Source organism: Homo sapiens, chromosome 1, assembly GCF_000001405.40.
Source record: "Homo sapiens chromosome 1, GRCh38.p14 Primary Assembly".
NCBI lineage: Eukaryota > Metazoa > Chordata > Mammalia > Primates > Hominidae > Homo > Homo sapiens.
In genome coordinates, this window is record NC_000001.11 from 105,930,309 (window position 1) to 105,942,722 (window position 12,414).

Here is a 12,414-nt window from a genome sequence, read left to right on the forward strand (position 1 = left end):
TTTGTGGAATAAATGTAATCATAACTCATATTGTCCCTCTGTATTTGTGCTTTTAGTTTTCAAGGGGCACAGGTATTCTCATGTGCCTTCACTCAGGTGGTAGTGTTTATTTTTAGAGAACACAGAGAAGTCAGGGAAAGAGAAAATCAACACTCTATAAAAAGGGCAAGATATCAAAGAGCACTGGAAAATCATTTATCACCATTCAGAACATAAAAGTAGCTCCAGTGACCCATAAGCAACTCTAATGACCCAGACAATAGATACGGTATACTAGTAATTTTGCTATTGCCTTTGAATCAGATGTCTATTACATTTTGATCTAGTAACCCCCACTAATGACTCTTTCTTCCCTTGTCTGTGGCTGTTTCTACTTTTAACACTTCTTATCTAATCCTTCCAATCAATGCATTATCTATTTATTTACACATATATTTAAATTCACCAAAAAAAGATGGATCAATCACTTGCATAATGATCATCTGTGGCAAATGATGCCATTTTTGCTCTTCTACTTGATAGCTAATACGGTTTGGCTGTGTTCCCACCCAAATCTCATCTTGAATTTCCATGTGTTGTAGGAAGGACCCAGTGGGAGGTAACTGAATCATGATGGCAGGTCTTTCCTATGCTGTTCTTGTGATAGTAATTAAGTCTCATGAGATCTGATGGTTTTAAAAACAAGTTTCCCTGCACAAGCCCTCGTTTTGCCTGCTGCTATCCATATAAGATGTGACTTGCTCCTCTTTTCCTTCTGCCATGATTTTGAGGCCTCCCCAGCCAGATGGAACTGTAAGTCCATTAAACCTCTCTTTCTTTTGTAAATTGCCCAGTCTCCCAGTTTTGGGTATGTCATTATCAGCAGCATGAAAATAGACTAATACAGTAAATTGTTACCAGTAGAGTAGGGTGCTGCTATAGATACCTGAAAATGTGGTAGTGACTTTGGAACTGGATAACAGGCAAAGGTTGGAACAGTTTGGAGGAGCTCAGAAGAAGACAGGAAAATGGGAAAGTTTGAAACTTCCCAGAGATTTGTTGAATGGCTTTGCCCAAAATGCTAATAGCCAAATGGGCAATGAAATCTAAGCTAATGTAGTCTCAGATAAAGATAGGGAACTTGTTGGGAACTTCAGCAAATGTGATCGTGGTATGTTTTAGCAGAGAGACTGGCAGCATTTTGCCCCTGCCCTAGAGATTTGTGAAACTTTAAACTTGAGAGAGATGATTTAGTGTATCTGGTCAAAGAAATTTCTAAGCAGCAAAGCATTCAAAAGGTGACTTGAGTGCTGTTAAAGGCATTCAGTTTTAAAAGGGAAACAAGAGCATAAAAGTTTGAAAAATTTGTAGCCTGACAATGCAATAGAAAAGAGAATCCCATTTTCTGAGGAGAAATTCAAGCTGGCTGCAGAAATTTGAATAAGTTATGAGGGGCCAAATGTTAATCCCCAAGACAATGGGGAAAATGTCTCCAGTGCGTGTCAGAGGTCTTCACAGTAGCCCCTCTCATCACAAGCGTGTAGGCCTAGGAGAAAAAAATTGTTTTCCTGGACCAAGCCAAGGGTCCTGGTGATGTGTGCAGCCTAGGGACTTGGTGCTCTGCATCCCAGCCATTCCAGCCATGGCTAAAAAGGGCAAAGATAGAGCTTAGGCCATGCCTTTAAGTGTGCAAGCCCCAAGCCTTGGCAACTTCCATGTGGTGTTAAGCATGTAGGTGCACAGAAGTCAAGAACTGGGGTTTGGGAACCTCCAGCTAGATTTCAGAGGATGTATGGAAACACCTGGATGCCCAGTCAGAAGTTTGCCGTAGGGGTGGGACCTTCATGGAGAACCTCTGCTAGGGCTGTGCAGAAGGGAAATGTGGGCTTGGAGCCCCCACACAGAGTCCCTACTGGGATACTGTCTAGTGGAGCTGTGAGAAGACAGTCACCATTCTCCAGACTCCAAAATGGTAGATACACTGGCAGCTTTCATTGTGCACCTGGAAAAGATGCAGACACTCAACACCAGCCCACAAAGGCAGCCAGGAAGGAGGTTGTACCCTGCAAAGCCACAGGAGCAGAGCTGCCCAAGAAAATGGGAACCCACCTCTTGCATCAGTGTGACCTGGATGTGAGACATGGAGTCAAAGGAGATCCTTTTGGAGCTTTAAGATTTGACTGCTCTGCTGGATTTCAGACTTGCGTGGGGCCTGTAGCCCCTTTGTTTTGGCCAATTTCTCCCATTTGGAATGGCTGTATTTACCCAATGCCTGTACCCTCATTGTATCTAGGGAGTAATTAACATGCTCTTGATTTTATAGGCTCATGGGCGGAAGGGAGTTGCCTTTTCTTGGATGTGACTTTGGACTGTAGACTTTTGATTTAATGCAGAAATGAGTGAAGACTTAGGGGGACTGTTGGGAAGGCATGATTTGTTTTGAAATGTGAGGACATGAGATTTGGGAGGGGCCAAGGGCAGAATGATATGGTTTGGCTGTTTCTACACCCAAATCCCCTCTTGAATTCCCAAGTGTTGTGGGCGGGACCTGGTGGGAGGTTACTGAATAATGGGAGCAAGTCTTTCCCTTGCTATTCTTGTGATAGTAAATAAGTCTCATGTGATCTTATGGTTTTAAAAACAGTAGTTTCCCTGTACATGCTCTGTTTTTGCCTGCTGCTATCCATGTAAGATGTGACTTGCTCCTCCTTCCCTTCTGCCGTGATTGTGATGCTTCCCAGCCCCATGGAACTGTAAGTCCATTGAACCTCTCTTTCTTTTGTAAATTGCCCAGTCTCGGGTATGTCTTCATCAGTAGCATGAAAACAGACTAGTACAATTGCCATAAGCTATTTTTCTTGCTAACAGATGCTCTATTTTTTTTTTAGGGGACAATGATCAGCTTTGGTGAATCCTCACAATTGCTGTAGATCAGTCATGCACATACAAATCCCTTTGAAATTGATTGTCAATGAGAAATGAAGGGTTGCCTATTAGGGAGCTTCTGGGAAAGTTGTTTTTTTTCTTTTTTTCTAATAAACGGGAGAACACCTGGAGGATAAAACACTTTTTCTCTTATTTCTATTTTGCATTGCAGGATGTCTTGGGAGCTCATAATGCTTAAAACTCTGATAGTCATGTTAGAACTGAGGTTGGAGCCTAGTGTCTAAAGCCAATATGCTGAAGAAGGTGGTATGTAATGGTAGATAGAGATGCATCCTCAATACCACTCTTGAATAGAATCATCCATATCTACCAATCTGATTAAGCAAACAGTATATTCCCTCGATGTTTAAACCACTTTTTAGCCAGGTTTATATTACTTCCACGTGACCAAATTCTAACTGACGTACCACCCAATATATGATACTAAGAGACTGAGTTCTCTAGACAAGACAACAAAGATATAATAGGATGCTTTTAATGTTTCGGGGAATTTTTTCAACCAGCGTGTTTTGACCATGACAGCACTCACAAGATTCAAAACATGGTCAATAATGTATAACTGACTGTCTATATAATCTGTTCTCAGAAGGCAGATGTGGGACAAACAGGCACTTACAGATATTCCAATGCATTTGCAAGGCATTCTGACACGTTATATTTAAAAGTTGAAGACAATTTTTATGTAAGTCCCAAAATTGAGACAGCCAGGTGGGGAGGACTCCCTGGCAAAACTCCAACAAGCCTGTGCACTGGGAGGAATGCACACTGGAGTGGAGCCACAGAAGTTCACCCACTTGCTGTGGGGAGGGGCCTGGGCCCTGGAAACTGGGAGTCAAACTGCCAGGTGGGAAGTTCACCAGCAGGGACTATGGCTTTGTGGAGGGTCACTGTTTCGCTTTTTTTTCCCTTTTCACCCAATAAAACCCTGCCTTACTCACCCTTCAAATGGTCTGTGAGCCTAAATTTTTGTGTCCAGGTGACTAGGACCCCACCTTTAGCTGAACTAAGGAAAAGTTCCACATCAAAATCAATCACAAAACAAGCACAAAGTCTTAGTTACCCCCTAACTAGATATTTGTCCTGTGTTTCCTGACCTTACTGGGCTTTCAGATAAGCTTCCAGTGTGAAAAGTTGACTCAGAACATTCACCTTATGGAAGAAAGATAGACTGTTAAAAAAGCGGGAATTAAAGAGATACAGACTATTGGGTGCAAAATAAAGCTGTGCTCCCACCTGAAAGACTGCAATGCAAATATTACGGCTTAACATAGAATGATTAATTGGCAGCATGTCTAGTATATACATTTGTAAACGTACATTAAAAAACATAAATCACCAATATATGTCCAATTATCTACTCTATTTCTAAATACAAAAGTAGTTTGTTAAAAGGATTATAGAACAAATACTATGTAAAAAAAATGAATATTTTAAATTTACTTATTTTTGTGTTATCTTATGTACTGAGTTAATGAAATATTTTACCTCTCCTCCTTACAAGTAATACATGAAGCAGTCATTTAAAGAAAATTGGATTATCCTACCAGATAACTCCTTCAGGATGTACATTTTCTTGTGCCTGAATAAAGCTTTTGTAGTACTTCATTGAAAAGAAACACTCTCAGTTGAACTGAATTATTAGCATTTCCAACAACTGTTCTTTTAAAGTATGTCAGAAAGTGACATAAAAGTACCAGTCACAGTCAGTCATGAAGCCATGTTATAAAGTGGCCTATCATATTTCAAAACCGTCATTTTGTCATTCTCAGAAGCTGTCTTCCTCCCTGAGTATCAGATAGTGATGACAGACTGAACCTGTCACCTAATTCCCTGTAGAGCTGCAGGCTGAGAGGGTATGCTGAAAGATCCAGAGTGACAGTGAAAAATGTTTATGTACTAACATTTTTCTATATATTTTAAATGAATGATTCAAAGTGTTGTTGCAAAGCAGCTGTTAAATACTTGGAAGGAAGTACCATAGAGTATATACTACATGTAATAATTTATTAAAATACAACTATAAAGCCTTAGAAAAGAGACTATATGTCTAAGTCAATTCTGATTAATAATAACTTCTGAAACCATGCGGGCAAAGTAAATTCATCTTCCTTTAATCAATAATATTCTCTTTTTTGCCTCCACATCACTGCATCTACAATAGTTAAACAAATTATTATATTATTGTATTTGATTCCATCACATATCTTTCCCACATTAGATTTTAAATCTACTAATGGATCTACCTGAGTACAATTATAACACTAGAGATACTCGATGGTTTCTTGATTGAATCAATCTTATCTACCAATACTGGTATTATAAATAAATACAATTTACTCAAAATACATTTTGGGCCGGGCGCAGTGGCTCATGCCTGTAATTCCAGCACTTTGGGAGACCCAGGCAGGTGGATCACCTGAGGTCAGGAGTTTGAGACCACCTTGGCCAACATGATGAAAGCCCCTCTCTACTAAAAATAGAAAAATTGGCCAGGCTGGTGGCACATGCCTGTAATCCCAGCTATTCGGGAAGCTGAGGCAGGAGAATCGCTTGAATCTGGGAGCTGGAGGCTAAACTGAGCCAAGATCATGGCACTGCACTCCAGCCTGAGCGACAGAGTGAGACTGTCTCAAAAAAAATTTTTTTGAGCACTTTATACAATTGTAGTATATATAATGAAAAGTAAACATAGAAGTGTAAAAACAATGAATGTTCACAACTAAACACACCTATAACATACATAAAGTGCAAAATATTTACATGTATTACTCATTAATCTTACATATGTTTACAAACACATGGAATAACCACCAAGACTGAAATATAGAACATTTCCAATACAACACGAGGCCCCTTTTGTCAATCTCAGCAGTATGCCTCCAGGGCTAAGCATTATTCCATCTTCTTTCTCCATAGATTAGAATTGGTTGTTCTTTTTACACCATTTTTTCCTCTCAGTCCTTCTGTTTAACATTTTTGTGTTGAATTGCCTTTATGTTTAGTAATCCTGCAGTTAAATTCATCCAGTAAGTATTTAATTAAATTCTATAATTCTAAAATATCCATTTGGTTACTTTCATCCATTTGAATTACCTCTTGAATTTCTCTAAATTCATCAGTTTTTTCTTCTATCTCATCCTCTGTTTTATTCAGCTTATCAATCACAGATATTTTTAAAAATCCCTTTCCACTAACTCCAATTTTTGGATTATGTATAAATTTTCTTTCTTTTAAAACTTTCTTTGATTTTTGGTCATATTTTTCTAATGCTTCACATATATCACGATTTTTTTTTAAATTTCATGAGCCGACAAAGAACTATAGAGACTGCAAATGTTATCCTCTGCTAGAGATACTTCTCCTTTGTCTTGTTTGGCAAATAGTCTAAGGATCTGCTTCTTTCAAGTTAATCAGAGTAAGATCTAGTTCACCTTGCTCCTCAGGGTGGCTCTCCTGAAATTTTCAGCTGAGGCCCCAGTAGGTACCTTATACTTCCGATCTGAGAAAGAGCAGGAATGTTAAGTTCTGCAGGTAGAGATTGCATGCTTAACTTTTTACCCTCCTTCTCCATACTGTTTCAAAATGTGATAGAAGTTATTAAGGAGAAATTTACTTTTATGGCAAACCCCATGCTTCTTTTTTATTTTTTATTGTGTTAAGAGCACAATATGAGATTTACCCTCATAACATATTTTTATGTGCACAATACATTATTGCTAACTATAGGCACGATGTTATGCAGAAGATCTCTGGAACTCATTCATCTTTCATGCTGAAAGTTTACACACATTGAACAACTCCCCATTTCTCCCTCTTCCAGCCCCTGGCAGCCACCATTTTACTCTTTGCTTCTGTAAGTTTGATTGATTTAGATTATACTGATAAGTGAGATAATACATTGTTTGTCTTTCTGTGACTGGTTTATTTCACTTAGAATAACATTTTCCAGGTTCACCCATGTTGTGGAATCTGCCTGGATTTTCTTTTTCTTTTTAAGACTGAATAATAATCTATGGTCATTTAGGTTGTTTGCATACATTAGCCATTGTAAACAATGCTGTAAGTTGATGTGGGAGTGTAAATATCTCCTCAATATCCTGATTTCAGTTCTTTTGGACAAATATCCAGAAGTAAAATTGCTAGTTCATATAGTAATTCTATTTTTAATTTTTTGAAAAACCTTCATAGCTTTTTTCATAGCAGTGTCACCATTTTACCTTGCCAGAAACAGTGTATCAGGGTTCTGATTTCTTCACATCCTCACTAACACTAGTTATCTGTTTTTTCTAACATACAGCCATCCTAACATATGTATGATAGTTATAAATGTGGTCTTGATTTGTATTTCCCTGATAACTAGTGATATCGAATATATTTTTAAATACCTTTTGGCATTTGCTTTTCTTTCTTAAAGACATAGCTATTTAAGACATATGTCCCTTTTTAAATTTAGTTATTTGGTTTTTTATTGCTGTTGGGTTGTACGAGTTTTTTTATGTGTTTTAGATATTAATCCTTTATAAGATATATGGTTTTCAAATATGTTCTCTCATTCCATAGGTAGCCTTTTGTTTATTGTTTCCTTTGCTGTGCAGAGACTTTACAGTTTGATGTAGTTCCACTGCCTATTTTTGCTTTTGTTGCCTGTGCTCTTGATGTCATAGCCATGAAATTACTGCAACATCAATGTAAAGTATTTTCCTTTATTTTCTTGAAGAAATTTTACAGTTTTGGGTGTTATATTTAATGTTGTAAACCATTTTGAGTTTTTTTTTTTTGTGTATGGAATAAGGATCCAATTTCTGTGTGTGTGTGTGATAGCCAGTTTTCCCAACATCATTTATTGAAAAAAAAAACTATCATTTACCCACTGTGTATTCCTGACACACCTATTAAATATTGGTTTACTACATTTATGTATAGATTTATCTCAGGGTTCTCTAATGTGTTCCATTGGTCTATAGGTTTGCCTCTATGCCAGTACCAAACGGTTTTAATTAATGTGGTTTTGTAATATATTTTGAATTCAGGAAATGTGATGCCTCCAGCTTTATTCTTCTTACTCACATTTTTTGCCTGTTTGGGGCTTTTTTTGCAGTTTTCTATAAATTGGGGGATTTTTATTTTCAATTTCTGTAAAAACTCTAATTGGGACTTTGATAAAAATTGCATTGAATCTTTAGATAATTTTGGATAGTATGATGATATTTGATAGTATTTAGTCTTCTAATCCATGAATACAGGATGCAGGATGCCTTTCCATTTACTTGTGTCTTCTTTAATTTCTTTCAACAATGTGCTTCAAATTTCAGTGTATAAGTCTTTCACCTACTCGGTTAAGTTTGTTGCTAAATATTCCATTTCTTCTAATGGAATGGAAGACTATTTTTGATACTACTATGAATGCAGTTTTTCTCAATTTCCCTCTTGGATAGTTTGTTGTGAATGTATAGAAATGATTTACATTTTTGATTTTATATCTTGCAAATTTGCAAATTTATTTATTAATTCTTACAGTTTTTTTAATTGGGTGCTTAGTTTTCCACATATAATATTATGGCATTTACAAACATGTCATTTAACTTCTACTTTTCTGATTTAGATACCATTTATTTATTTATTTTTAATTGCTTTGGCTAGGACTTGTATTATGCTACATAGAAGTTAAAGTGGACATTCTTGCCTGTTCCTGACCTTAGGGGAAGTTTTCAGTTTTTTACTGTTAAGTATGATGTTAGCTTTAGACTTTTCATGTATGGCTGTTATTATGTGGAAGTAATTTCCTTCTGTTGTTAGTTTTTTTGTTTATTATTTATTTTTTTCCATAAGTTTTTGGGGAACAGGTGGAGTTTGATTACATGAGTAATTTCTTTAGTAGTAATATGTGAGATTTGTGTGCACCTATCCCCAGAGCAGTATACACTGTACCCAATTCATAGTCTTTTATCCCTCATCCAACTCGCACCGTTCCCCCTAAATCCTCAAAGTCCATTGTATCATTCATATGCCTTTGCATCCTCATAGCTTGTGTCTCATTTAAGAGTGAGAATATACAATGTTTGGCTTTTCTTTCCTGAGTTACTTCACTTAGAATAATGGTCTCCAATTCCATCCAGGTTGCTGATATGCCATTATTTCATTCTTTTTTTATGGCTGAATAGTAGTCCATGGTGTGTGTGTGTGTGTGTATATATATTTATGTCTATATGTATATATATATGTCTCTCTATATATGTGTGTGTGTATATATATATAGACATATATATAGACATATATATAGACATATATATAGACATATATATAGACATATATATAGACATATATATATAGACATATATATAGACATATATATATATATATATGTATGTATGTATGTATGTATTGTGTTGAATAGGAGTGATAAGAGGGGGTATCCTTGTCTTGTTCCAGTTCTCAGGGAATGGTTTCAACTTTTCTCCATTCAGTAGTATGTTGGCTGTGGGTTTGTTATAAATGGCTTTTATTACATAATGTCCCTTCTATGCTGATTTTGCTGAGGGTTTTAATCATAAAGGATCCTGGATTTTGTTAAGTGCTATATATGTATATAAATATATAGTGATATATACATATATACACACACTATATATATACACACACTATAAAATATATATAGTGATATATATATATATATCACAATTTCTCATTGATTGATGGACATTTGAGTTGGTTACACATTTTTGCAATTGCTAATTGTGCTGCTGTAAACATTCATGTGCAAGTATCTTTTTTGTATAATGACTTCTTTTCCTCTGGGTAGATACCCAGTAGTGGAATTGTTGGATCAAAAGGGAGTTCTGCTTTCACTTCTTAGTTCTTTAAGGAATATATACACTGTTTTCCACAGTCATACTGGTTTACATTTCCACCAGCACTGCCGTAGTGCTCCCTTTTCACTGCATCCCTGCCAACATCTATTTTTTTTAATTGTTTAAATTATGGCCATTCTTTCAGGAGTAAGTTGGCATCACATTGTGGTTTTGATTTTTCTAATGATTAGTGATGTTGAGCATTTTTATACATTTTTATATGTTTCATGGCAATTTATAGATCTTCTTTTGAAAATTGTCTATTCATGTCCTTAGACCATTTTTTGATGAGACTGTTTAGGCTTTTTTGCTAATCTGAGTTCCTTGTAGATTCTGGATATTAGTCCTTTGTCAGATGTACAGATTGTGAAGATTTTCTCCCACACTGTGCATTGTCTGTTTACTGTGCTGATTGTTTCTTTTGCTATGCAGAAACTTTTTAGTTTAATTAAGTCCCACCTATTTATCATTGTTTTTGCTGCATTTGTTTTTGGGTTCTTGGTCATGAAGTCTGTGTCTAAGCTAATATCATAAAGGTTTTTCCAGAATTTATCTTCTAGAATTTGTATGGTTTCAGGTCTTAGATTTAAGTCCTTGAGCCATCTGGGGTTGAATTTTGTATAAGGTGAGAGATGACGATCCAGTTTTATTCTTTTACATGTGGCTTGCCAGTTATCCCAGCACCATGTGTTGAATAGGGTGTCCTTTCCCCACTTAATGTTTTTGCTTGTTTTGTTGAGGATCAGTTGGCTGGATTTGACCCTATTTCTGAGTTCTCTATTCTGTTCCAGTGGTTTATTTGCCTATTTTTATACCAGTACCATGCTGTTTTGGTGACTACGGCCTTATAGCATAGTTTGAAGTCAGATAATGTACTGTGTCCAGATTTGTTCTTTTTGCTTAGCTTTGCTTTGGCTATGCAGGCTCTTTTTTAGTTCCATTTAAATTTTAAGATTGTCATTTCTAATTCTGTGAAGAATGATGGTGGAATTTTGATGGGAATTGCATTGAATTCATAGATTGCTTTTGGCAGTATGGTCATTTTCACAATATTGATTCTACTCATCAATGAGCATAGGATGTGTTTCTATTTGTTTGTATTGTCTGTGATTTCTTTCAGCAGTGTTTGAGTTTTCCTTGTAAAGGTCTTTCACCTCCTTGGTTAGGTATATTTCTAATAATTTTTTGGCGGCTATTATAAAAATGTTTGAGTTCTTGATTTGATTCTCAGCTTGGTCGCTGTTGGTGTATAGCAGAGCTACTGATTTGTGAACATTAAATTTTTAATCTGAAACTACTGAATCCATTTATTAGTTCTGGGAGCTTTTTGGAGGAGTATTTAGTGTTTTCTAGGTATACGATCATATCAACATGTCAAGTGACATTTTAACTTCCTCTTTACTAATTTGGATGCCCTTTATTTCTTTCTCTTGTCTGCTTGTTCTGGCTAGGACTTCCAGTATTGTGTTGAATAGAAGTGGTAAGAGTGGATATCCTTGTCTTGTTCCAATTCTCAGAGGGAAAGGTTTCAACTCTTCTCCATTCAGTAGTATTTTGGCTGTGGGTTTGTTATAAATGGCTTTTATTACATAATGTCCCTTCTATGTTGATTTTGCTGAGGGTTTTAATCATAAAGGATTCTGGATTTTGTTGAGTGCTTTTTCTGCATCTATTTAGATAATTATGTCATTTTTGCTTTTAATTCTGTTTATGTGGTGTATCACATTTATTAACTTGTGAATGTTAAACCATCCCTGCATCCATGGTATGAAACCCACTTGATCATGTTGGATTATCTTTTGTGATATGCTGTTGGATTCAGTTAGCTAGTATTTTTTTGAGTATTTTTACATCTACGTTCATCAGGGATATTGGTCTGGAGTTTTCTTTTTCTGTTATGTCCTTCCCTGGTTTTGATATTAGGGTGATGCTGACCTCATAGAATGATTTAGGTAGGATTCTCTCTTTCTCTGTCTTGTGGAATAGTGTGAATAAGATTTGTACCAATTCTTTTTTGAATGTCTGATAGAATTCAGCTGTGACTCTTTCTGGTCCTGAACTGTTTCGTGGTGACAATTTTTTTATTACAATTTAAATCTTGCCACTTTTATTGGTCTGTTCAGGATTTCTAATTCTTCCTGGTTTAAGCTAGGAGGGTTGCATATTTCCAGGAACTTATACATCTCCCCGAGGTCTTCTAGTTTATGTGTGTAAAGGTGTTCATAGTAGCCTTGAATGATCTTTTGTACTTCTGTGGTGTCAGTTAAAATATCTCCCATTTAATTTCTAATCATGCTTATTTGGATCTTCTCTCTTCTTTTCTTGGTTAATCTGGCTAACGATCTGTCAATTTTATTTACCTTTTCAGAGAACCAGCTTTTTGTTTCATTTATCTTTTGTATTTTTTTAATTTGTTTTGTTTAGTCTCGTTTAGTTCTGATTTAATCTTGGTTATTTATTTTCTTCTGCTGGGTTTGGGTTTGGTTTGTTCTTGTTTTTCTAGGTTCCTTGAGGTGTGACCTTAGATTGTCTATTTGTGCTCTTTCAGACTTTTTGATGTATGCATTTAAGGCTATGAACTTTCCCCTTGGCACTGCTTTTGCTGTGCCCCAGAAGTTTTGATAGATTGTGTCACTATTAC

At 36.1% G+C, this 12,414-nt stretch overlaps 1 long non-coding RNA gene across 1 annotated transcript in view; it reads right to left on the reverse strand.

Annotated features, from left to right (window-relative positions):
- Window positions 1–12,414, reverse strand: part of LINC01677 (long intergenic non-protein coding RNA 1677) — a 100,630-nt gene that overhangs the window by 2,685 nt on the left and 85,531 nt on the right. The window lies entirely within an intron of this gene.